At 43.4% G+C, this 27,338-nt stretch overlaps 1 protein-coding gene across 11 annotated transcripts in view, besides 1 other annotated feature; it reads right to left on the reverse strand.

Moving 5' to 3' along the window:
* TTLL11 (tubulin tyrosine ligase like 11) overlaps positions 1-27,338 on the reverse strand; it is a 277,635-nt gene that overhangs the window by 101,218 nt on the left and 149,079 nt on the right. For 2 of the 11 annotated variants that reach the window (XR_929720.4, NR_171570.1), the window contains 2 exons: positions 11,032-11,253; positions 8,081-10,302 (listed from right to left, as the gene is read on the reverse strand). The exons of 7 other annotated variants lie outside the window; for them this stretch is intronic. Coding sequence is in view for 1 of the 4 variants with exons in the window: in XM_017014309.3 (XP_016869798.1) it covers positions 11,124-11,253 (130 nt within the window). In the remaining 3 variants the exon portion in view is untranslated. Of the gene's footprint in view, positions 1-8,080; positions 11,254-27,338 lie in introns of those variants that run through there. 2 more of the 11 variants (XR_929721.4, XM_017014309.3) reach the window with 2 other exon arrangements.
* Positions 9,248-9,748: an enhancer, noted in NCBI's record as "H3K4me1 hESC enhancer chr9:124688418-124688918 (GRCh37/hg19 assembly coordinates)". NCBI's record gives its function as "activates a minimal SCP1, AML or CMV promoter by ChIP-STARR-seq in primed H9 embryonic stem cells {active_cell/tissue: H9 hESC(primed)}" and the evidence as "EXISTENCE:reporter gene assay evidence [ECO:0000049][PMID:30033119]".

Raw genomic sequence — 27,338 nt, forward strand, 5'->3', positions numbered from 1 at the left:
ATTTGAGGGCTGGGGAGCTGTTGCAGACACAATTAAAGGCCCATCCAAGACCCCGTCCCATTTCCTAACATATTACATTCTGTTTAGGTAGCCATGCTCTTCCTAAAAGCCACATGCTTCAGAAGAGGCTGACCCCAGTCCAAGGCCCTGCCAGGGGTATATTCTGACTGGTCTAAGCCAGTTGTGATGGGCCCATCCCCCTTGACAATACTGGTTTATGTTTAGGGCTTTGACCCAATTCTGGCTAATGCGATGTGATGTTATGTATATTTTACCATAATAAAAGTAGAGGGTGGCTGCACATGGTGGCTCATGCCTATAATCCCAGTGCTTTTGAGAGGCCGAGGTAAGAGGATTGCTTGAGGCCAGAAGTTCGAGACCGCCTAGGCAATATAGCAAGATCTTATCTCTATAAAAAAAAAAAATGAAAAAAATTAGCCAGGCAGTGCATACCTGTATTCCTAATTACTTAGAAGGCTGAGGCCTGAGGATCACTTGAGCCCCAGAGTTCAAGGTTGTAGTGAGCTATGATTGCACCACTGCACTTTAGCCTGCCTGGGTGACAGAGCAAGACACTGTTGAAAGAAAGAAAAGAAAAGGAAAGAAAAGAAAAGAAGGAGAGAGAGAAAGAAAGGAAGGAAGGAAGGAAGGAAGAAAAAGAAAAAGAAAGAAAGAAAGAAAGAAAGGAAGGAAAAGAAGAGAGGGAAAGAAGGAAGGGAGGGAGGGAAGGGGAGGGAAGGGAGGGAAGGGAGGGAAGGAAGGGAAGGAAAGAAAGGAAGAAAGGAAGTGAAGAAAGGAAGGAAGGAAAGAAGAAAGAAAGAAAGAAAGAGAAAAGCAACTGACAGCACCCAGTGGCGCAAGCATAAATTGTGAGTATAATCTCTAAATCTTACATTTAAATTCTTACATTGCTCCATAGGAAATAAATTGCACTTAAAAATCCACTAGAATTAAGTTAAGCCCATATAATGAAATAAAATGGGGTCATTGAAAATAAAAGCATGTGATTCCACTTTAGGCCATGAGAGAGTGACAGCAAACTTATACTCTTGCCCTAAATAACTATAAAAAGTAGGCATTTTTTTTTTTTGAGGCCAGTGTTTTTAAGCACTGGACAACTGGCAGTGCAGCCCTGTGAGCCTTGCAAAAAGGGAAACATGAGGTGGGCCTCGGTTTACCCAGCCTTCAGCCTGTGGTCACTTTACAGACCACGGACCAGGGTGTGGGGTGTATCAGATTTGCTGAGCTGCTGGAATTCATGGAGCAGGTTACTGGAGAGGAATCAGTCTGTGGATGGGTTGGGGAGACTCTCCACATCTTTGGCAGAGGGCTGGGCCATGAATGTGCAGAGTGAGACTCTGTGAGGCCTAACGGAGAGGCTGCTACAGGGTAGAGCATTGACCAGAGAAACCAGAAGTCACAGAGTGATGGGAAATGTCAGAGTGAAGGTGGGGAGATTTCGATGCCACTGGAACATGTGTCCCAAGAGGGTAGCAACTGCCATCTGTTGTCATGCCTGATGTACCCCCAGACTCCAAAATGATGCCATTCCCATAGGAGATGTGTAATGCTTATTTAAATGGTGTCACCTAAGCTGGGTCTAGGGCAGATGGCATTAAGGACAAGGTAGGGGCTGTCCAAGGAGTTCAGATTGGGGAGGGATCTGGCTCCAGGGACTGCAGGGCCAAGGCACTTAGGAGTGGGGAGGCATCATTAGAGATAAATTTAAAAATGCATTCATTCATCCATTTCACTTCATTTCTTCTCTGACCCATCTTGCTACCACAAAGAACATGAAATAATAACCAAACACTGGAAATAACCCATGTCATCAATCACAGAATGTAGAAATAAACTGTGGGAATATTCACAAGATGTAATTCCACACAACAATGAAAATGAATGAACTTCTGCTAAACCCAACAACACAGATGAATGTCACTAACAAGTGTTGAGTGAGGGAAGCCAGATACAAAACAGTACATACAGTATGGCAGCATTAATATGTAAAGTTCAAAAACACGCCAAGTAACAGATGAGGTTAGAAACCAGTATGATGGTTACCCGTGGGGCTAGTGGAGAGGGTATGTGCAAGGCTTCTGGGGTCCTGGTAATGTTCTATTTCTTGTCCTTGATTGGGTTACCCCAGTATGTTCATTCTATGACAACACACTGAGCAGTGCTCTTATGAATTATGCACTATGAATAGAAAGTGTCAACAAAAAGGTAAATGTCCACCTGACATATTTTACAAGATCAGAAGCTAGGCTAAATGATGGGGATAATGGGGGCTCATTTAATTAATTATACATTTCAGAAAGTCCATTTTTGTATATTTCAATAAAATCATTATTAAATAACTTTAAAGATGGCAATATAACTTCAGGAGGTTTATCCCTTTCAAATACTTGAGAATATGGATTTTAAAAAGAAACACATACATGCTGTTTAAAAAAAGGATGTGAAGTGGCTTACACAGATAGGTAGACATAGATAAAATGCCTTAAAATGAACATGGAAATAGGAGGAAAGGAAGAGCAAGGGTAGAATAAAAACAGAAGGTTAAAGACAAACACAAAGAGGCATAACGCTTCAAGGGCCTGCACAGTTGTTGCGGAGGTCCTGAGAGTGAGGGCACAAATATGGCTGCAGGCTTCCTGGTAGCCAAAGGAAAGAAGGAAAGAGAACAGTTCAAAGATTCGCTTTGTCCACAGATGTTGTAATATGGAAGACAGTTGCTCAGAAGTCCAGCTTGTCCTGCAAGTGGGGCCCAAGAGAAATTTCCCCTGTGGGGAGACAGTGAGTAATACAGAGCATGAGGTCCACAAGAATATCCTAAGCCAGGTACAGCAGCTCATGCTTGTAATCCCAGCATCTTGGGAGTCTGAGAGGGAAGGATCACTTGAGGCCAGGAGTTCAAAACCAGCCTGGGCAACATAGTGAGACCCTCATCTCTAAAAAAAAAAAAAAAAAAAAAAAGGAAATATCCTAATATTAACACTAACAGTGATGACAATGTTAACAATAATAGCTAACACTTTAATACTGTTTAACTTTGTGCCAAGCACGGTTTGAAGTTCTTTGCATGCATTATAGTAAATTTAAAATCAATGTTTTTTAGGCTGAGTGTGGTGGCTCATGCCTGTAATCCTAGCACTCAAGCACTTTGGGAGACTGAGGTGGGCAGATTGCTTGAGCTCAGGTATTCAAGACCAGCCTGGGCAACATGGCAAAACACCATCTCCAAAAAAAATACAAAACATTTGCCAGGTGTGGTGGCGCATGCCTATAGTCCCAGCTACTCAGGAGGCTAAGGTGGGAGAATCACCTGAGGCTGGGAGGTCGAGGCTGCAGTGAGCCAAGATTGCACGACTGCACTCCAGCCTGGTGACAAGGTGAGACTCTGTTTAAAAAAAATTTTTTTTTATAAATTCAATGTTTCTGGTAATGTCTCCCATTGCAGGGTAGCACAAAAGCAGAGCCAGGAAAGGCAGCTGGAACAATGGTATCAAGGAGCAAAGCTCTCTGATGGTTTGGCTTGATCCAATGATCTAAACCAGATGAGCTCCATATCTCTCTGGTAAACGATGAAGGACGTCACTAGGCAGCAAATCATCGGGAAGCAAATAGCCCATCTTGCACATTTAGACCTAGTCTATTTTCTTTGACAGATAATCAAACCAAAGGTAAGGTTGACATCCTTTTCTAAAGTGAGGTACCTAATAAGCTTCGTACCTGAAGAGATGGCCACCTCATCTCTACAGGAGTGGGCCAAGGTAGGATCTGTGGGCAAGGCCAAGATTCACCTCTGGAAACTGTTCTATGTCTGCTCTAACACAAGGACAATTGGATAAGACTCTATCCCCTGAGTTTATACCACCAAATATGGCCATGATCATTTCAGTCTTGTGAAGACCATGAAGACGAGCAGCCTCCCTTGCAGGGAAGGAATTGTTCTCAAAGAGGGAGGAGCATCCTTACCCACTACAGAGGGCCTAGGACCGCTTTGCCTGGGGAAGGTAAGAAGAGAGAGCGTCTAGCTAATGCACAACAACCTGGAATAATACATCCTCATGCTTTTGAGTTATTTTGACTTCTGCCAACAAGTTTCTAACAATCTTAAAGTTAACTCATAAACTTAATCTTTGTTAACAGATGGATTTATCCAAGGATGAATTAAGAGAGGTGAATTTTTTAGTCATTCATTCATTCAAATATTTACTGACCAATCAAAGAGGAAGACACCAGTGGAAAACCCTCACTGGTGGTATGCAAAAGACGTCCGTCAGATCACACATCTGTCCTTCAGGGAATTGAGTCTAATTCACTGGTTTTACTAGCCAGTTCCTTCTTTCCTTGACTCGACAAACATGAGTTTCATGCCTGTTTTGTGCCAAGAAGTATTCATATCACAAGGCCAGTAGGCAGAGATACAAGTAATGTCCTGAAGGTGCTTAGATTAAGGAGCAATTAACCCAGTGGAGGCAGGGGGGTGAACAGAGCTTCAAGGAAGAGGGGACAGCAGAGCCCAACTCCCGAGAATCATGAGATTTGTTTTATAAAAAAAACTCGCCACAGGATTCCTCTAAGTAACAATTTTTTTTCCTAGTGCCTTTCAATTATGCCTGGACTGATTTACACACCCTTTCAGAAGCACAGCTGTTGTGTAAATTAAACCTCAGTAATCCCTCCCCAGTGCTGAGTCCCCCTTAGGAGAAATTCTGGCACCTGCTGATTTATTTCTGTGTACTTTCTCAGCACCTTGAGGATTTCAGCTTTAGTAATCACAAGTTATGAGTCACTCCAATTGGGGATAGTTAGACAAAGAGGGAGCAGGGGATTGAAAATAGAGAATGGAAGCAAAGCAGATGGTGGAGAAGGGTAGAGAGGCCTGCAAGGAAGCCTTGGGCTAGATAGAGGGAAGTAATCCTAAGCTTTAGATGTTCACAGCCGCCTCCTCAGGTAGAAGGAAGAAGAGCTGGGAAATGAAAAAAAGAGGCTGATGGTCTGCCCTGAAGAACCCTTCTCTGAGCCCACGGAGGAACCCGGGAAGCCTGACACAGTCACAGACTGAAAACTTTTCATCTGTGCTTCAAGGATCATGAGATAACATCTTCAAGGAGCTTAGCACACAACCTGGCGACTGGTCAGCACTTTCTAACTGCCAGCTGCTGCTGCTGCTGCTGTTGTTCCTCAACTTCAACTCCTCAGTCCAGGGGAAATTTCAGGACAAACCCGTTAGGTTGAACCAGCCAAGGAGGGACAACTCTATCTCTACCCAGAACCATATACTGATAATCCCTAGGAAACTTCTTTAGACCATAAGAATGTCGCCCTTGTCTGTTTACATTTTATTGATACTCTTTTTAAAAGATTTAATATAAGTATGTTGTTGTCCCATGATTTCCCTTTCTGTGTGTGCATCTATACTTATCATCTGTGGCCCTGGTGCCAAGTCATCACCTCAGGTGTCAATGTTGAATTTTTAATGTTGCATTTCTCATTAGAGTCTCTGAAGGAATTCTTGGGGTCCGGGAATGCTCAAGTTTGTGAATTGCTACATTAGACTGATAACTACCTTGAGAGCAAGCTGACCTTGGGCCAGAGGAGACATAAAACACCCAGTGACACTCTAGTGCCCCTAGAATTAGTAGAAAGATCGCATTTGCTAACCACAAGTGTGAGACTCACAAAGGGTAAAATGGATTTTTTTCTCACTTGGAAGAAATGACTCCAATTCTGGAAATCCTATAGCAGCCCCTGCTGTCACCATGATAATGAGAGAGTATGTTAGAGCCCCAAGCAGGCCCCGTAACCTAGTCATGTCCAAAAAGCTTTTATTTTAGCGCAAAGGGTCAATATCTATTCAGTGTGTGTGTGTGTGTGTGTGTGTGTGCATGCACATGTGTATATCAAACCTCAAAATCCCAAAGGTTAAGTGGACAAGGGATATAAACAGATAATTTCCCAGTACTATAAAATGAAACATAAATAGTAAATACAAACAGTTATATGGAAACACGGCCACCCTCATTAACAACCAAAGACATGCACATTTCAAAACCACCTTACACATGCTAAGTTAGCACTTACTTTTAGAAAGTCAACACCTAATGCTTTGCAGGTGAAGGGGCACGCATGGGCATTAAAGGTGGCAAAGGCAACAATTATAACTCACCCTTTGGGTTAAAGCAAAATGGGACTTTGCATGAGGATCTTCAGAGATATTCATTCCCTTTAGCCCTGTGATTCTAGAGCTGGGTTTTATTTAAAGAAGAACAAAATTGAGTACCACATAAATGTCTGATTACGGGGATAAATTATGGTACAACTGCACCCTAGGATGTTCTCTATTCACTAAGATGATTATGAGGATTGCATAGCAATGTGCGGAAAAGTTTATGCCATAATATCATCCAAAAGCCGGTAGAACTCGAATAGCTTGTACGTTACAAGAAAACATTAAAGCTACATCTGCAGGTGGACAGGGTCTAGAAGAGCTTAAAATTGCTGGTAGAAGTTAGGGTTGGAGTATTTTTTTCCATTTTTTTCAATTTTGTTTTTAACATAACCATTGTAATTTTTGAAAATACCTTACTGTTGTTTGTTCCAAAACTGCAAAAAGACCCCTTTAAAATCAAGTGAAATCAGTGCTTATGAAGACAACCTCTGAGCCAGGCATTGTTCCAGGTGCTTTAAAAACCATATTCATCTTTTAATGTACCTCATTTTACAGGTAAAGAAGTTGGGGTTTGGTAAGAGTAAGTGGCTTGCTCTGCTCATAGAGGCTGACAGAAGTTATGAAGTTTCCAGCCTTGGTCAGTCTGGCTCAAGCCTGAGCTTTCCTTCCAACATCACACTGACTCTCTTTCGCTCCCAGGAAAGTGATACTCTGGTTTTCATCCTCAACTGAAAGAATTCATTTTTTTTAACTGCATTTGCTTTTGTGCTAGAGAAGTGATATGGTTTGGCTGTGTCCCCACCCAAATTTCATCTTGAGTTGTAGCTCCCATAATTCCCGTATGTTATGGGAGGGACCCAGTGGGAGATAATTGAATCATGGCTGCCATATCTTATGAGACTTATTAAGGGGAAAACCCTTTTGCTTGGCTCTCATTCTCTCTTGCCTGCTGACATGTAAGACGTGCCTTCCACCATGATTGTGAGGCTTCCCCAGCCACGTGGAACTGTGATTCCATGAAACCTCTTTTTCTTTATAAATTACCCAGTCTCAGGTATGTCTTTATCAGCAGCACGAAAACGGACTAATATAAGAAGTAATTGGCTTTCTGGAAAGCCTTCCCAGACACCCTCAAGTGGAGTTAACCGCTGCCTCTTTCATGCTTTCAGTACTCAGTACAGTGCATGGCCCATTGTAGGTGCTCGGCGTGTAGTGACGCCGTTGAATGTGAGGCTAGGATGTTTCCTTCCCATCTGAGTGCCACATCCCCAGCACTGTGGCAGTGATCCCTTAACAGCAGGGGAGGGCAGAGAAAAGAGGCAAGGGCCACAGCCCTGGCTGACTCCCATTTCCTGAGTTCTGTATGCTGCCTAATGTTATTTGTTAGTTGGTTTGTTCTCATCACAACGTAGCTGAAAAGGGTTAGGAGATATTGAGAACAATCCTTTCAGAGGAAGATGAAAAAGACTTGGCCAAGCAAGATCGGGGAAGGAGCAGATGAGAGTTCTGGAGAAAAAGAAAAGAAGCTGGAGGACAGAGGAGAAGATGACAGGTGGAGAGACAAGCTTTGGGAGTGCCCTAATGAAAAGGCAGGGGTCACAGTGAAAACGGGCACTTCCAGAAAGAGGAAAGAAAAAAAAAACAGGCCCAGGCAATTTCTTGCAGAAATACCTGTGGGGATAACAAGCACTTTTTTTTTTTTTTTTAACCTGAGCAAAAATCGTCAAGCCCAGCTACTTTTATCATCTAAAATTCGTTCTGGAGATTTCCTCCAGCTTGTGAGAGACATCTTAACTCTCCCTGAAATAGTCATTTGTCACAAGGGGCTGGAAGTGAGCCAAAATGTCTGTAAGCAAAGTCCAGGAGCTCTGTATAATAAAACAAATTGCAAAATATTGATTTTGTTTCTTTTCGACCTGTTTTAATCCAACAATATCATCTTATTATGAGAATTTCCTCTCCTGATGGCGAGGAGAACAGGCTCAGCTGTGGGAGAGGAAGAAGCAGACACAGGCTTCACTTCTCCTCTGAAAGGCTCTGTTTAGGGATCTCTAATGTCACCGGCAGAATTGCAGTTCCAATCTTCTACCATGATATTTCTGAAGGAAAGACCAAAGTGCTGGAGAACCTGACAAACAGGATGTGTGCTTTTCTCCTAAACTTAGAAAAAAGTAGAAATAAGAACCCAGAGAAAGTGACCAAATGTCACTCAGATGCTACTAACACCTCTTGTGGGCCCCTCAGAGCCCAGGAGATGAGTCCCAGGCTCCCAGGCTAGGTGGGCTCCCAGATAGGGTGGGCGAGGCCTCCCGCTGCCGGGCCTCCATCCATCTCGCCAGCCTTCCAGCTGCGCCCGCCCACCCCACCCCGGGACCATCCTCCCCTCCGTTTTCTGGACACATCAGGCCTGTTCATGGCTCCAGGCCTTTGCTCATGTCCCTTCTGCCTGGGAGGCCCTCTCTCCTCTTCCTCAAATGAGCATTGACTCATTCTTCAAATTCATGGCTTTCCTCCTCAGCAAAGCCCTCCAGACCCTCCCAGGAAGGGTGAGAGACCTCCTTAGGTTTCCCTTAGGTTCCCATGCCAAGGCTCTCCACAGGCTCCCGCAGCTGTCTCCTGGCTGGACTGCAAGTCAGCAGCAGGGGCTGGTCTCTGAATCTCTCTGTGTCCAGAGCCTAGTCCAGAGCCTGGAACGGCACTTAGGATGGGTTTGTGGAGTGAATGAATGAATGGCAGTGCCCTGCTCCCCTCCTCCACCCTCACCCTTTGTTTAAGAACATCACCCATTCAGGGGTGAGAGCCTGGCATCCAGGCCTCTAATCTCAGGATGAAAGGCACAGGCCTGCTCTTTAGAACATAAAGCATTCATCTTTCCTTCCCACTTTTCTTGTGCCACGGGAGCTCTGAAAATCCTGCCATATCAATGTCTTCCAGGTTCTGTGTTCCTCTCAAAAAGATACCAGTTTACGCGTGTGAAGGCTCGCAGGTTATTGAGTCTCTCGAGGGGTTTTTTAATCTTTGCAGGCAGAAGAGGATCCTGACACACACTTTGAAGTTTGCCTTCACACGCTTCTGCCAGGAAGGAGCCGTGGTGTTTCAGATGTGAGCAGTCTCTGCTTCAGAGGGGCCCGGGGCTGGGGTGCACAGCCAGAACTGGCCCTGGGGGACCCTGCGCTGCCCACAGACCATTTCCAGCATGCCAGGGGTCAGGGCAAAGGATTGCCACGCGCTCTAAAACTCTTGCTGTTATCCACACGCTCTCCCTCCAGGTCCGCGGGTCCCTGCTGACCCAGGCTTTGTTTAGAATCCAAAAATAACTCCCCCCTTCTTGTGTTCACTGCCACAAGGCTTGCTAAGGAGTCATTCACATTCATTAATCCTTTTCATTCTCAGAACAACCCGATGATGGGCACAGTGGCTGGGTGCCAGGCGCTGGGCTGAGGACGGCACAGCCCTGGAGGTGGTGCTCTTCCTGGCCCTGTGGCATAGACGAGGATCCTGAGGCTGGGGAGGACAGCAGCTTGTGCCCAGTCTCGGAGCTGCTTAGGGGCAGAGTGGGGCTTCGGGGCCAAGGCTCCATCAACAAGGCCGTCTCCTCTCTCCCGTGTCACTTTGAGTGGTTCTTCCTCCTCGAGGCTGGAGCAGGAACTTTGGCACGAGCCAGGCCTGGCTTTGGATCCAAGCAATTCAGCTGTATTTTGGCACACTGCTTGTCTTCACCCACTCTGGCTGTTAAAACAGAAAATCATAGCTGGGGTGGCACAGAAACAATAGAAATGTATTTCCCGTGGTTTGGAGGCTGGAAGTCCGAGCTCACAGGGCCAGCATGGTTGGTTCTGACAAGGATCCTCTTGCAAATGCAGACAGCCGACTTCTCATGAGAGCCTCGCACGGTGGAAAGAGGGTGAAGGAGCTCTCGGGCCCCTTTTATAAAGGCATGAATCCCATTCATGAGGTTCCACCCCCATGACCTAATCACCTCCCAAAGGCCCTAACTCCTAAGACCATCACATGGTGGGGCTGGCCGGTGGAGTTAGGATTTCAACATATGTATTTGGAGGAACACAAACATTTGGTTTATAGCATAGCGTTGCTTCATGTCTCTATGCTTCTCTCCTCACCTGTCAAAGGGACAAAATAACAGTAGCACTGTTGTAAAAATGAATTGAAGTAGAGCTTACAATGCTCTCAGCACAGCATCTGACACATAGCGCATGCGCTGTCTGTATCTATGTAGATAGATGGATAGAGAAGTATTTTTATAACCATTACCCTCTCTCTAAGCTTTTCAGTTCCTCCGGGAATTTGATCTTCATGGTTACTATTTTTTTGTTCAACAAAATCAGCACCATGATCCTCTATAAACACCCTCTCCCTGAACTATGATCCAGCTTTTTGGATCAGTCAATCCTGCTACATGTCAAGCACTCTCAGGTAAAGGAATCTAGAGATACATGATAACCTATTTTCCTGGCCCCCAGGGAGGTGAAAAGAAATATGTAAACTGCTCATTTTGAAATAAAATAGTAAATATCACAAGAGCACAGAAGGTGGCATTTTTTTTTTTTTTTTTTTGAAGGTGGGAGAAGGCAGAGAAGACTTCTGAGGGGATATCATTCTGGCCAGGATGGTGACAGAGGACTAGGAGTTAGCGAGGCAAAGAAGGGCCTAAGGAGTGCTCTGAATAGAGTGAAGAGCTGCTGGAGTGCTGGGTTATTAATTTCCATTTATTCAGTATCATAGCACAGATCACTGGCAGGCAGGAGACAGTGGCAGATGGTTTTAGTAAGGTGGAAAAACCTAGTCATGAAGGATCTTGTACATCACATGTTATTTGGTTTGGATCTTACCTTAGAGGCCAATAAATCTCAAATGTTGATGTGCTTCAGAAGTCAGCATAGGAGCTTGTTAAGATGCTATTCCCAACCCTGAGACTTGGATATTATGGAACATGCAGCCAGGTGGTTTCAATGGAGGTGCTCCAGGAGCCACAATCATAAAGTATCTCAGTAGATGATGGAGAAGCGTGGGAGGGGCAGTACCAGAGGGGGCTACGGGACGCATGGCCATGCCTGTGATTCGATAAAATCAAGAATTCTGTTTCAGAACCACCTGTCAATCAGCTCCTCCTTGGTAAGAGGTACTACTTCTAGAAAATGTGATGTCACTTCTATTTGTTCATTTATTTCAACAGCTTTATTGGGATGTAATTGTTATATTAAAAACTGCACCTATTTAGTGTATACAAGCTGATGGGTCTGTACATGTACACATAACCATGAAACCATCACTACAATCAAGGTAAAACACATATCCATCACCTCTAAAAGTTTCCTCCTGCCCCTTTGAGTTATTTTGTTTGTTTTGGATTTTTTTTTTTTTTTTTTGAGATAGAATCTCACTCTTTTGCTAGGCTGCAGTGCAGTGGCGTGTTCTCGGTTCACTGCAATCTCCACCTCCTGGGTTCAAGCGATTCCCCTGCCTCAGCCTCCCAAGTAGCTAGCACTACAGGTGCGCACGACCACACCCAGCTAATTTTTTGTATTTTAGTAGAGACAGGGTTGCACCATGTTGGCCAGGATGTTCTTGATTTCCTGACCTCATGGTCTGCCCACCTCAGCCTCCCAAAGTGCTGGGATTATAGGCTTGAGCCACCGCACCCGGCCTGTTTCTTTTTTTCAATGAAATGGGGTCTTGCTATGTTTCCCAGGCTGGTCTTGAACTCCTGGGCTCAAGTGATCCTCCCACCTTGGCCTCCCAAGTAGCTGAGACTACAAGTGTGAGCTACCACACCCCCTTTGAGTTTGTAAAAATGCTATTCATTTACAGTCATGATAGATTATTTTAAAAACTTTTATAAAATTTTATGTACACACACAACATACATTTGCCACACTAGTATAAAATGAATCCTCTCTTCTCATTTGAATAAAAAACAATCTTTAGCCTATCAGAGACAACCTTTGTGATTTTACGTAGATCATGTAGTTTCAGACAACATCAACCATCAAAACATGGTCTTCAAATGTAAAGAGAGCCCCAAAGGCCCCCAAACCACACAAACTTTCCATAAAAGTTACACATTTTGGCCGGGCGCGGTGGCTTATGCCTGTAATCCCAGCACTTTGGGAGGCTGAGACAGGCAGATCACAAGGTCAGGAGTTCAAGACCAGCCTGACCAACATGGTGAAACCCTGTCTCTACTAAAAATACAAAAATTAGCTGGGTGTGGTGGCGCACACCTGTAATCCCAGCTACTCAGGAGGCTGAGGCAGGAAAATCACTTGAACCCAGGAGGCAGAGGTTGCAGTGAGCCGAGATCACACCATAGCACTCCAGCCTGGGCAACAGAGCGAGACCCCGTCTCAAAAAAAAAAAAAGTTACATATTTTATTTTAGGAGAGCCAGAGGCATTTGCAGCTTCTCTCTCAGTCAAGGAATATGTATGAAAAACGGGATGGGGAAGGGTGGCCATGACATTAAAATTAGACACAAACGGAGCATGCTGAGGCCATTTGCAGGGGACACAAGTCATTCATTTGTTCCTTATAGTTTTTTGTGCTCACTCTGTGCAGGGGTCTTGTGCTGAGTGCAGAGATGACACAAGGCAAGGCCTTAAGGACAAAAAGTTGTTATAACACAATAAACAAGAAGAAAGCACACTTGACAGGGAGGCATAAGGCAGGTTCCGAGGACCGGCCCTCTGCCCCTCTCCAGCTGTGTGACCCCAGACAGGCCACTTTGCTCCTTTGGGTGTTTGTAGAATAAGAGGTGAGTGACAGTTCCTCTTAGCAACAAGGTCCTATGCTTTGATGTTCGGAAGGAAGAACCAAACTCACCAATAATTAATATTAACTGCTGCTAAGAAGACAAATATGTGTAAGCATTTTAAGAGTTCAAATTTTAAGTGGCTACAATTAAATTTTGGTGATTAATGGAACAAATGCCTGTCATTTGAAAAGAATTCACTTAAAGGAAATATTGCATTCCCCAAAGACTCTCCCGAAATTTGAGAGCTAGAAGAGTTCCTTAAAGATGACCCAATCAACTTCCACCATCTGAGGAAACTGATGTTCAGGAAAACCAAGTCTGACCAGACAATAGGTAAGTGGCAAAAGAGAACTGGGCCAGGTTCCTGGCTGCATCGGAAAAAGACTCCCTGTCATACCGTGTTGCTGTGATTTGTAAATTATGGGGTAAAACATGCAGTATCAGTAACTGGGCTCAAGGAGAGAGAAAAAGGCCTTCAATTCTTCAAAGCACTTGGCCTCTATTTGAGCTCTTTTACTCAAATAGTTTGAAGCCTTAAGGGAGTAGCCCCAAATCATTTGCCTGGGGAAAGTATAGATACAAATTGGTTCATTTTCTCAGTTACACAAATAGTGAAACCGTGACCCACATCTTAAGACATGCCATCACATGACCAAGTCTAATGGCTGGTGAAGAATTAAACTCAATCCCACAGCAATCAGCACCTGAGAATGCTCGTCCTCCCAGATTACCTGCTGCAGACAGAAGAAATGGCTCACCCGGGGCCAGCCAGCCAGCCGGCAGTGGCAGCGTCCTGGGCCAAGGATGAGAAGGACCAGAGCTCCTGACTCCCTAGGTGGCTGCTGTCCCAGGTCTGCCACGCCATCAGGTGGTCCTGGTGGTCACTGCACCACTCTATGTGTGGACCTTTGCATCTCTAAGATGGAGCTGATACACTGTCCACGCCTCACAGGGCAGTTGTGAGGATATGTGTTTTAATGCAAATTTCCTCGCGCTGAGTTTGGCACTTAATAGGTGCCTACTTATTAATGTTTTTAGTCAACAGTAGTTATTAAGGTTGTAAGTATCACAATTTCACACTGCCCTCCTTCCTGGTAACTGAATTTGTACTCAGCTGGCTGTACACAGTGAGGAGATGGGATGTGCTCAAGCAGGAAGCACAGCCAGTGGCTTGGAATCCATTTAATTACTCGTTTCACTTTATTCTACCATTAACTGGTAACATGGCAAGGTTCAAAGACCTAATGATTAGTATGAGCTCTCCCTGCTCAGTCAGGCCAGCTATCTCCCTGCTCCACCTGGCTCAGCCATTCACTGGGAAATTGCCTGAGTGGCACCTGTCCCATTTGTCAAACACCGAAGCGCTGGGTAATGATCTAACGTGCTTGGGGCAGAGAGCACATGCTAATGGCACCAGGCCACCCTACGTCCTCAGAGCCCCTTGTGGGCATGCAGACCTCTCTCAGTTAGAAGATGGAGGAAGCTAAGTGGCTGCAAGGTTAAAATTAGCTGCGCAGTGACTAGACTTCTTGTTGGAGCAGAAGTAATATGTTCTCCAGTTTCTTTCTCCCACAACGTCTCACCCCTGCCTTTCTGAACTATAAGAAATATTCAAAAGGCCAGGCGTGGTGGCTTACACCTGTAATCCCAGCACTTTGGGAAGCCAAGGCAGGTGGATCACTTCAGGTCAGAAGTTCGAGACCAGCCTGATCAACATGGTAAAACCCTGTTTCTACTATTTAAAAAAAAAAAAAAAAAAAAAGAAAAGAAAAGAAAGAAATATTCAAGCCCCATTTCAGATGGAACTAAAATGCCCATGAACTATTTAAATGCCTTAATCCCTCAGAGCATGCTGAGAACAGGGCTTGTGGAACAATAGAGGGCTCTCTGAGGGCCCTGTCCCAGCAGACTAGCCTCCTGACACCCTGGGTTGCCTGCCTGCTTTCCAGAGGAAGCCACTGGTCCCTCTGCACTCTCAGCAGAGAAATATTGATGCCAACTGTGGCTCCTCTCGCCCCATCTTCCTTCATGCCTTTCTCAATGATGTCAGCACACTGATTTCTCTCCTCTCTCTGAATTCTTGCAGTGCTTAGCGTTGGACCTCATAATTCAGACTTGATAATAAAGAATCTCTTTCAGGAAGTCCTCCCCAGGTTCTTCAATCAGATATTGTCACCATTTCCAACCTGACCCACTTCTGCCCCATAGCCTCAGCGCACCTTGTTCTATCCTTACCTGCATCCAATGTCCTACATAGCAAGCTTTGGGCTGCATATTCTATTTATCTCCATTACGAGCCTATGAGTTCTTGAGAGTTGACCTTTAACACTCTTCTCCTTTGTCTCTGCCACATCCCAGGATGCAGCAAGAAGCCTGACCTAGGCTGGACATTTACACACACATACATGTATACTATACATAAAAAATGAATATTCTGTATTGTACCTAAGGTTTTGGTAGATTTAAATATTTCGTTTCTAAGAACACTGTATTCTTTGTTGGAGACACAGGCTGTGTTTTCTCCTGCACCTGCATCCTTCCTTGGTACCAGGCACCACCTGAGTACATAACAGGTTCTCAGGATGTGTTTGGATTACAGAGTCTTACGAGTAGGATGAGCTTTCACAAACATCCAGCCCATTCACTTCATAAATGGGAAAACTAGATCCAGGGAGGAAAAGAGACTCATCCACAATCATTAGCAGCCAGTGGAAGCGCCATTCCCCACCTCCTCAGCTGACAGCATGGAGAGCCCATGCTATTACAAAGGCTTTCTTAACAGTTCAAAAAGAAAATCTTGTCAAACCTTTCATAGTAGTACGGCAGGCTGATAGATCTAGATAACCCACTTTTTTTTCAAAGGAAAATCAAATAATAAGGCTAATTCCCAGTGATCCTGAGGATCAGTAAGGTCTGAGTTTATACTTCAAGAGGATGGAGCTCCGAGAAAAGATGATGTACCATTAAAATGGCAAGTATGGCAGATGCGAAAAATAAGCACACATCTCAGCGATTTCCAACTACAAGAGACAGGAAAATCTGTCTCATTAATGACAAAATGCAGATGCTTTTCTTCCTGAGCAGGAAAAAACCACAGACTAAATTACATCCGAGCCTGTAAAGAGGTATGTGAGAACCCACTTAAAAATGTATGATGTCTCACGGAAAAGATTGATCAACTGGCTCCCTGAGCATCGAAAATGTCGGTTAGTTTTTCCTCTCTCTTGTTTCAGACAAGTGGTGATTAATATAACACGGCGGACAGTAGAGGAGGTGAAACTTGTAAAATAGGTACAAAGGGGAAATGATCAAGGAGGGAGATAATGAGAATTTAAATCTGAAGGTAGAGAACATGTATGAAATATATTAATATGGAGCCTACGGAAGGGAGAAAATGCGAGTGGGTACCATAGATGCCGGGAAAGAGAACGCTCTCCCGGGCTGTGACGGTAAGAGCGAGGAGAGGTGAATTACAGAGTAGTGGAGAATGGGGAGCAAACGGGTTTTCAGCACAAGAAACTACATGTGCCAAGGCCTTGGGGCAGAAGAGAGTCAGGCTGGAGTAACTGATGGAGTAATGGAAAGACGGTAGTTTGAGGGAGTTTTGGGAACATTAGGAGTGATGTGAGATGGGTTAGAAATCCGGACCTCTGTCTAGTGTGGAGATCAGTGGTGTTCAAAGGTTTTGGTCTTAAGAGTCCTTTATACTCTCACTATCCATCGATTTCCAAAACAGAAATGAAGGCAGGAAAAATATTCACTCATTTAAAAACAACAATAATAAATCCATTATGTGTTAATGCAAATAATGTATTTCTGTGGGAAATTATTTTCTCCAAAACAACAAAAAAAGTTAAAAAAAAGAACATTACATTTTTTGCAAATGTCTTTAATGTCTGGCTTAATAAGACATAGTTGGATTTTCATGTTGGTTTCTACATTTGGTCTGCTGTGATATGTTGGGGAGTGAAGTATATGAAGAAAATCAGGCATGATCAAATCTGGTCAAGCAATGCTTTCTTAAAGGTTAGTTAGTTGCAATATGGAAGCTGAAACCATGTCAATAAACTTTTCATACTCTGTTACATTTAAATCCATTGGTCCAGCCGGGCGCTGTGGCTCACGCCTGTAATCCCAGCACTTTGGGAGGCCGAGACTGGCGGATCACCTGAGATCAGGAGTTTGAGACCAGCCTAACCAACATAGAGCAACCCTGTCTCTACTAAAAATACAAAATTAGCTGTGCGTGGTGTCACATGCCTACATGTAATCCCAGCTACTTGGGAGGCTGAGGCAGGAGAATTGCTTGAACCCGGGAGGTGGAGGTTATGGTGAGCCGAGATTGCACCATTGAACCCCAGCCTGGGCAACAAGAGCAAAACTCCATCTCAAAAATAAATAAATAAATAAATAAATAAATAAATCCATTCGTCCATCTTGCGCTTTGGATCTTTTACCCATGCCAAACTATATAACGTCATACCTGCAACACTTGGAAAATACTGATTTATATAGCTCTTCCGAATGTTGTGCATTTCATTATATGACATCAGAAAATCACATTCATTAATATCACCAACTGATTTCAACAGAAAAGTCTTTAAATATCGTGAAGCTGTCAAGCTCATGGCGGCAGATAGGAGTTTTCAGAGATTCCAGTTTTTGCTTAAACGTTCAAATTTTATAATTGGTGCAAATGTTGTTGGCTGTTTTCCTCGAAGTGAAAAGCTCACTTAGTTTCAGGAACATGTCTACAAATGTCCAAACCTGAACAACTTATAGTTTGTCTGCCAATTGTTCTTTCCATGAAAAACATTCTGATTGTTTCAAGACAAAAGGGGCTCACTCAGCTTGCAACCCAAACAGTCCCTACAGCCTTACTGCGCTTCGGTGGGCAGCAGAAGTGCTTTAGCCTACTTGCCATTTTATCATCCAGAATATTAAAAAGAAGCGTGTTCAAGGGCTGAGATTTAATTTAAAAAAAGGTTTTTTACTGTTTCATCAAAGACCTTCTTAAGTGAATCTGGCATTTTGTTTGTTTGTTTTAAACTTTGAAGTATGTGGCAGTGATGAATAATGACTACTAGTCCACCTCAGTGCCCCTGTCTTTTTTTGTTTGCTTGTTTTTTGAGACTAAGTCTAGCTCTGTCACCCAGGCTGCAGTGCAATGGCGCAATCTCGGCTCACTGCAACCTCCACCTCCTGGGTTCAAGTGATTCTTCTGCCTCGGCCTCCTGAGTAGCTGGGATTACAGGCATGCACCACCATGCCCGGCTATTTTTTTTTTGTATTTTTAGTAGAGACAGGGTTTCACCATGTTGCCCAGGCTGGTCTTGAACTCCTGACCTCTTGATCCGCCCGCCTCGGCCTCCCAAAGTGCTGGGATTACAAGCGTGAGCCACCACACCCGGTCTCCTGTCTTAAGTAGTAATAAGCAGCCAGCAGTTTTACTCATCACTGCTTTTACAGCATCACTGCAAAAGTCAATACAAGAACAAGGCAAAGGATGCCTTATCATTATTATGATGACAATACTTTTGACTCCATAGATATCCTGACAAGATATCAGGGAACCTTGAATGTTCAAGGACCCCACTTATAGAACTGCTGGTCTAGTCTAGATCAGACAAGGCCTTGTCAGGCATTTAAAATTTTTAAAAAATTTTATCTTTCTCCTGTGGGGAAATGAAAAGCCACTGAAGTGTTTTTAGCAGGAACTTAATCCAATTAGATTTTAGTTTTGAAAAGATCACTTTGGCTGCTGTAAGGAGAATGAAACAGATGGAAGTTAAGAGTGGATGAGGAGAAAATAAGTTAGGAGATTCTTAGAGCTCTCCAAACTTGAGACGGTGACTGGACAAAAGTGGTAAAGATGGAGAGAATTACAAAATTGAGAGATCTTTAGGAGTTGAACTCAAGAGGGCTCATTGAGAATTCATGGAAACCTCCAGGGGTTCTGGCTCAGGTACCTGGATAAACTGGGAGAAGAGCTCAGGGAAATGATGCGTGTCATGTACAGAGCACAGAGCCTCGCTCGGTGAACGCCAGCTGCCCAGGCCTGGACAGAGCACAGCCCCGACAGGTCTCCAGGTACCCGGACCCTCTCCTGGCCGCTTCTGGGAAAAGCAGCCTTAGGTAGTAACCTACGTAACCCAGTCTCTTAGTGACTGGCTGAAACTGAGCTATTAACGACTGCCAAAAGGAAATACTCTACATGAAGGGTGGTTTGGCCAACTCAGTTAGATCTCCCTGCTTGGAGAATGGTAGATGAGAGGAAGGAGAGAGGAAGACTCACAATGGTGGAGTGTGAGAAGAGAATGTCGGCCAGTTCTTAGGACAAGCTGAAATAATCAAACAAATTCAATCATTAAAGGCTGACAAGAGTCCATATAATTAAGACCTCTTTCTTCTTTCTTTCTTTCTTTTTTTTTTTTATTGGAGACAGGGTCTCACTCTGTTTCCCAGGCCAGAGTGCAGTGGCTCGATCACTGCTCACTGCAGCCTCGATGTCCCAGGTTCAAGTGATCCTCCTCACCTTGGTCTCCCAAAGTGTTGGGATTATAGGCATGAGCCACTGTATCAAGCCAGTTAAGAGCATTTATATCAAGCTGGATTGCAGAAAGAGAAGAGACAAGACTTCACTCCTTTTCTGCCCTCAAGGACCCAGAAATCCTGTTTCTAAAGCCCCCCACCAGCTCCAGTGTGTGCCTGTAAGTAGGGTTCCTACTGGCACTGAATCTTCTGGGACTTGATGTCAACCTGTCCTTATACAGGTATAACTGGAAGGTCCTTTCCTTGCCAGAGCAGGCTCGTGCTAGAAACTTGGAATACAAAGAAAAGCTTAACGAAAAAAGCTAAAATTATAATCTTACAGGTCAGAGATCATCATGATTAACATTTAGTGTGTTTCCTTCCCATATATTATATGCACATAAAACATACATTTTAAAATAAAATTGGGGCTATATGCAAATAGTTATGAAACATTTGACTACATCACTATGTGGGCTTTTAAAACATAACAATAACACCTAAACACTGTCGTTAAATGGCATTTGCAATCCTTTCTCTGCTCCCTCCGTATGAGACATGCTAGGCTGTTTCTCCAGGTCTTTGACATCATTTCAAATTTCTGTAATGACACCACAAAATGCAGACAAGGATTTTGGTTTAAACCATCCCAGAAAATGACATTTCTTTCCCATTGCATGATGTTTTACATTTATCAAAGCCTTTTTACATATATTAATAAAACCCAACATTTTTACAACATTTTACTAAATTTTCCCACATGCTCATATGACAACATCTGTCAAGTGGTAACAATAATCTATCTCGTAAAGCAATTGTGAGGATTAAGTGGAAAAACGGACGTGAATAATGCCAGCTATTTTTGGTTGACTTTCACTTTGTGCCAGATACTGTGCTGAACATTTTATATCACATACAATCAGATGTAGTCTATGAGGTAGATCCTGTTACTGTCCTGCTTTAAGAGAAGAGGTTAACTGGGGCATACAAAAATGAAATAACTTACTAACTTGCTTACAGTGACATAGTTAATAATTGATGGGGCCAGAATTTGCATGCAAATTCATCTGACTCCAAAACCAGGGCACCTGGCAACTCCCCCAATTGCTTTGCTGTGCAAGGCTTTTGCAGACAGCAAGCACTAATCGTATTCACCAAACCATGAGTTCTTGGAGTCTAGAGATTCCCCTATTCCCCCCCACCCTTCTCTATTGGCATATAGTAGCTGCTTAATAAATGTTTGGTGATTCGATGGCTATGGAAATCAATGGAAGCAAAATAAAGAGACTCTGTGAAAAGTATTAAGAGATGTCCCTCCCTAGAAAAAGACCAGGCAAACCAAAAAAATCCTGAAATAAGAATATTCAAAGTAATTTAAATTTAAAAGAAAGAACATCAAACCCTCAGGGAAGAAAAATTTAAGAAAGAAAAAAATAAATCTAAGAAAAGAACCAAAGAGAATATCTGGAAATAAACCCAGTAAAGCATGAAAAATAATATATAATTACCAAGGTTTATCCTAGGATTGCAAGGATGGTATAAAATAACCTGATAAAAGATGCCTACCAAAACCCACAGCTGACATCACACTCAACAGTAAAACGTAAGAAAGATTTTCTTTAAAATCAGGAATGGCCAGGCGTGGTGGCTCACACCTGTAATCCCAGCACTTTGGGAGACCAAGGCGGGTGGATCATGAGGTCAAGAGATCAAGACCATCCTGGCCAACATGGTGAAATCCGGTCTCTACTAAAAATACAAAACATTAGCCGGGCATGGTGGTGGGCACCTGTAGTCCCCGCTACTCGGGAGGCTGAGGCAGGAGAATCACTTGAACCCGGGATGCAGAGGTTTCAGTGAGCCAAGATTGCACCACCACACTCCAGCCTGGGGAACAGAGTGAGACGCTGTCTCAAAAAGAAAAAAAAAAAAATCAGGAATATGACAAGCATGTCCACACTCCTAATTCCCACAATTAGGGAAATGAGACATAAAAAAAGAAATAAAAGGTATAAGGACTAAAAAGGGAATAAAACCATCATTCTTTGCAAACAAAAAATAAGACCATATAAAATTCAAAACTTCTATTTATCAAAAGGCAAATTACAACAGGGTAAAAGACAAATTATAGCCTAAGAGACCATATGTATAACTCATAAAACCATCAAAGGGTTTTTATCCAAGGTAAATAGAGCATTTCTACAAATAAGAAATTTCTACAAATTTTCTTAGAGCATTTCTGCTCTAAGAAAACAGAAATGGCAAAGAATATGAACAGATAATTCATAGAGAAAGAAATCCAAATGGCCAATAAATCTATGAAAAGGCCATAAACCTCATTAATGATCACAAGAATGCAAATTAAAGCAATATGACACCATTTGATATGCCTCAGATTGGCAAACATTTGATAAGTTTCATAACCAGGTGTTGGCAAGAAAGTTGGCAATGGAAATGCTCATATAAACTGGTGGGAGTGTAGGTTAGTACAATCGCTCTGGGGAGTAATTTCTCAGTATCCATTCTTTTAACAGCTATTTATTGAGTATTTACAAGGCACTGTTCTAGGTGCAAGGGATAAGGCAGCAAACCGAAGAGATAAAGTCCGATGTGAGAAAAATAACCAGTAAAATAGAAGATGCCTATTTCCACTCTAGGTGTTGACCGCAGAGGAACTCACACATGTGAATGAGAGACACGTATAAGGACATTGACCACAGCTGTGCTTGTAATAGCAGGGATGAAGAACAACTTGGCTTTTCCTTAGTAACAGTAACCTAATGAAGAGGGACTGCTGTATAATATTTCCTTTAATAAACCCTAGTATTTGCTTATAATAAAACTGGGGTTTATTGAGGGAAATATTAAATATTATAATCCCAGTTTATTTATAATATAACTAGGGTTTATAAAGGAAATATTATACAGCAGTTAAAGTAAATGTGGATCCAACATAGATCCAAACATCTTATTGGATAAATATCAGAAAGATAATGTGAAGCAAAAAGGCTGGTTGCCAAAGGAGATATGGCTTGTATCATTTATATAAAATGATGTCGTATCATTTATACAAAAAGGGACACATTAAATAGTCACTTTGTTGCCAAACATACCTATGTAGTAAAAGTAAAAGAACATAGTGATTCTCTGGGGGTAGGGGGAGAAGGATGTCATAGCAGTAGATGATTTATTTTTTAAAAAAGCACAAGAGTGAGAGATCCAAAGTAGATATGGCAAAACTGTTCATATCTGCAGAATCTTGGTGGGGAGTGCATACATATTCATTATATTGTTTTCTGAAAGTTTAAAATGTTTCATAATAATTTTTTTGTAATTTTATAAAAGCAAGAACAAAACAAAACTTCAGACCCCAGCACTGAGATAATCGCTGGTGCTCATCGTACCCCATTTCCTGCACCCAGCCCAGCCTGCAGACAGCAGGTAAGGCACCTCCGCGATGCAGTGACGGCTCTGAAGAGCCGTCCAGGCTTCAGCTGCTTGTATGCATTCGCTCAGCAAGGAGAGGATGAAGGCAGCAGAAGGCAGAGGGGAGCAGGGAAAGAGGCTGGGGGAGGGCTGGTGAGGACGAGAGGTGAGTGAATCTCTTGTACTACCTGAAAAGGTGACTGCCGAGAAAGGACAAATGTCTTCCCTCCTCCAGCGTTCTGAGAGGACTGCCTTGCCTTCCTTCGTTACTGGAACATGACAACCCAGCTCATTCTCAGATATTTCAACAATGGCACAGGTCAAACATTTATCCAGTCTCTCAAGGCTCAGCTTACAAGCAAAGGGCTTGTAATAGCTGTGTTATATTTTTTGAATCTTGTTTGATTCATAGTCATAAATCCTCTTTTCTAAATTAGGTGAAATTATGGGAAGCCTACAGGCTCTTCCCTCACCCTCCATCTCTAAAACTCTCTCTCTCCCTCCCTTGGATTTCTAACCATCTGTGATCTATAACTTTCTCTCTTTTTTTTTTTTGAGATGGAATCTCGCTCTGTTGCCCAGGCTGGAGTGCAGTGGTATGATCTCGGCTCACCACAACCTCTGCCTCCCAGGTTCAAGCGATTCTCCTGCCTCAGCCTCCCGAGTAGTTGGAACTATAGGCACACGCTACCCTGACCAGCTAATTTTTGTATTTTTAGTGGAGACGGGGTTTCACTATGTTGGGTTTCACTATGTCTCGAACTCCTGACCTCATGATCTGCCCACCTCAGCCTCCCAAAGTGCTGGGATTACAGGCATGAGCCACCATGCCCAGCCGACTTTCTCTCTCTTGATTTATCCTCCTCCTTCACTCACCCACACACAATCATCCACCACAGGAGAGGTAAAACACCATTTCTTACTCTACTCCGAAACTCTGTTTCTAGCTCACTGCATGGTAGAGAGCAGGCTCCATAGGACATTTGCTGATCTCCTCTTTTTCTATTTCATATAAACTGGAAATATAATTTTAATTAGATTACTAACTTCTTAAGGCATGCTTCAACTCTAATTAAACAAAGAGGTCTTTATTCACCATCAAACCTAGAAACATTGGCTAAAGGTAGCAGGAAAGCTGGAGGCTCCTGAGAACTCCAATTAAGGCAGAAGCCGGCTATATTTGGGAGCCAATTAATTTCACAATGTCGAAAACTAACACGTTTAAGATTCTACCGTTCACATCCATTTTTCTCCATGAAAACGTTTTAACTGTGTTGTGCCTGTCATCATCTTACCCAGAGTGTCTGTAAAAACTTTCATGTAAGGAAGACCTCAGGATTGCTAGATATAACCAAAGGCTTACTCTTTACCTTCTAAAATTGCAGTCAATTTTAAGACACTTTCAAGTCAATCCGCGTTCATCACCAAAGTGAGCCCTGAGTACTGCAAAATGCCTTTTGCACTGGCTTCTAAATGAAGTGGAGGTGGGAGCTGCTTTCCTCCTCTACCCTCCTCTCTTGGGCTTTCCACTGGTGGACTCACCTTCCGCTATGACCTCAACTACTATTGACAGGCTGATGGCTATGAAATCAGTGGTGATGGTGACAACAGTGATGACAACAGCCGACATTTGCGGAGCATTGACACGTGTCTTAAAGTCAACCTGTCTAAAACTGGACTTCTTTTCTTCTCCTGGAATCTATTCTTCCTGTTGCATTTCTCATGTTAATTCATTGTTTCATTGTCAACCGCATCATTCTTGAGTTTCTCAACTTCTTAGCTCATCAGATCCCACTGATTTCTCCCGCCTGCTGAGTAGAACTAGGAATGATGGTCTCTCTGATCAATTCTTTCCCAGCTCCCCTGCCCAGTGCTTTTGTTCAGAGGGCACACTTCTCATCTGCCAACTGGCCCTGCAGCCTTCTAGTTCTCCCTGACCCTGCTCATCTTCGGGACTGTCCCCCAGGGATATTTGTGTGGCACGGATCAGTACTCCTCTGTGTTCCCTGCCTCTGCCCAGTCGCTCAGGCCAAAATCCCAAGAGTATCCTTGATTCCTCTCTCCCTCTTCTCCCTCATTGTACCCAGCAGGAATCCTGCCACCCCTGCCTCCAAACACTCTGACCCTTCCCTCTTTCTCTTTCCCCACTGCTGCAGAGATTGTTCAAGCCATCACCATGCCTCCTGCAGGCCTCAAAATAACCAGGAAGGGCAAGAATAACCTGCCCTTCTCCCATGCAGTCCACAGAGTAGCCAAAAAGCAGCTCATGTCAACTTAACCCTAGAATCAAATCTATACTCTTACTCCAGCCTCTGCCATTCAGCCCCCAGCATCATCTACCATTCCTGCTCTTGCCCACCAACTCAGCCATGTTACCTTTGTGTCTGGTGAACTTCAAATGCACCAGACTCACCCTGCCTTAGGGCCTCTGTGCCAGCTGTTCCTGCTGCCTGACAGATTTTCCCTCAGCTCCTTGCATGTCCTCTCTGACACTCAGGTCTCAATTCCAATGTCACCTTCACAGTCAGGCCGCTTCTCTGATCATCCATTCTCAAATAGTTTCCCAGGCACTAACACATCGTCTTGGCCCTTCACTGTTGACTTATTTGCTCACTTGTGTATTTTATGTCTCCCTCTGTTGAAATGTAAGCTGTTTGAAAGCGGGGACCTCGCGATGAGCATCTTTCCTCTACTGTAACCCTGTAACCCCAGCTCCTAGAAGAGTGCCCGGTACACAGTGATTGCTCAATACATGTTTGTAGAGTGTTGAATGAATAAACAGGGATGTCACTCTAGTTAAAAACACCCTATTTTTCCTACTGCCATGGAATCTAGTCTGATCTCTGAGCCTGACATTCAGGCTCTCGCAGTCTAGTTCTGACCTGCCAAAATTAACCTCCTGCTACTCCCTCCCTCCTCACGTTTCTAATCTGTCTTATTTTTTTTTTTTTTTTTTTTTTTGCCTGAATATAGCGAGTGCTTTCACACTTTCCTGCCTTTGCAAATTTGGTTCTCACTGCCTGATGATTTTCCCTTTCTCTGTCTGATGAGCTTCTCTCATTCTGCAACAACCAAGCTCCAACATCCCCTCATTCAAGAAGGTGCAACCAAGTGCCCCCAAGCAAGGGAGCTGTTCGCTGTTCCCACGCCCTTTCATGCCGGCGTATCAGACTTGGGATGGCGTACAGTAGACCCTTGGCGCTGGCAGTCCTGAAGGTCACGTGGCATGTGAGATGTGAATGAAGATAACAATCCTAATCACACGATCGTGAAATGAGATGATGAGTGCAAAACGCCTTGGGTGACCTTGACTCACCCCCATCCGGAGGCAGGTTTGAATTAACAAGTTACTTAAGTAGTGAGTGAGCACCGCTGACCAATGAATATGTGCATAACAGCAGTCAATTTAGGGATTCCCAAAGGTTTCTGGACATGAGCCTGGTGACAGTCAAGGGCCAACTGTATTATAATTACTTATGTATCTTTTTCTCCCTTCTCAGAAACAGGCATGAGTAGCCTGGCTCTTCTTAGGCGTACGGACCGTAACAGACACTAAGATAAAGGTTTGTTGCATCAATAACTGAAATAAGATCTATGTGGATGTGTGAGTCCGTGAATGCAGGAAAGACTCACCACTTCCCCCAAACACTTACCTCTCCCACTTGTTAATGCCCAAATTATTTTACCGAGGGACAAAACCTTTTATTTTACAATGGAAGATCATTTAGGCCTCAGCAAAATGACAAACTGCTACATTTCTCAGATCTTCATGGTTGCTCAAGAATGATCAAAATAGTAAATGTTACACCTGCAGGTGTCTAGAAGCCAGAGCTTGTATCTATTTTGTTTAAACATCTGTCTCTCCACTCTCCAGTGAGCACCTCAAGAAAAACATGATGTCTCACTGTTCCCATCACTGTCCCCATCATCATACTTACTGGCCTCATTGCACTTGTTTTCTTTCTTTGTATACTCATGTGATGCCTACCTACCTCCTTTGAAATCCAGGCTTCGTGGGAATAGACCATGTAGGTTAGCCTTACAGGTCTATCCCCCTGTGCACCCCACACAGGAGATGCTCAGAAAATGTTTGTTGAATAAGTGAATGAATGATTCTATAAGACTGCCCATTTCTTTCTTCATGTCTGATCAAAGAAAACTCAATCCTTGTATTATGAATAGCTAACAGTGAGAGAGTCAAAACCCAGATTAATGGACATTTACAAATTCCTGATCAAAAGTGATTTTATACAATTGCATTTTCCTGGAAGGAAGAACAGACTATGACCAAATTAACAAAATGATAAAAATAGCATAGGAAGGCTGGTTGCACCATGAATAATCATTGAAGGACTAAACTTTTGCCCTTGGGGTAATTTTAGAATTTGGGACTTCACTAGTATAGCAAGAAAATATTGAGTTCCGGGCC

The sequence above is a fragment of the Homo sapiens genome, chromosome 9 (genome assembly GCF_000001405.40).
Source record: "Homo sapiens chromosome 9, GRCh38.p14 Primary Assembly".
Lineage (NCBI taxonomy): Eukaryota > Metazoa > Chordata > Mammalia > Primates > Hominidae > Homo > Homo sapiens.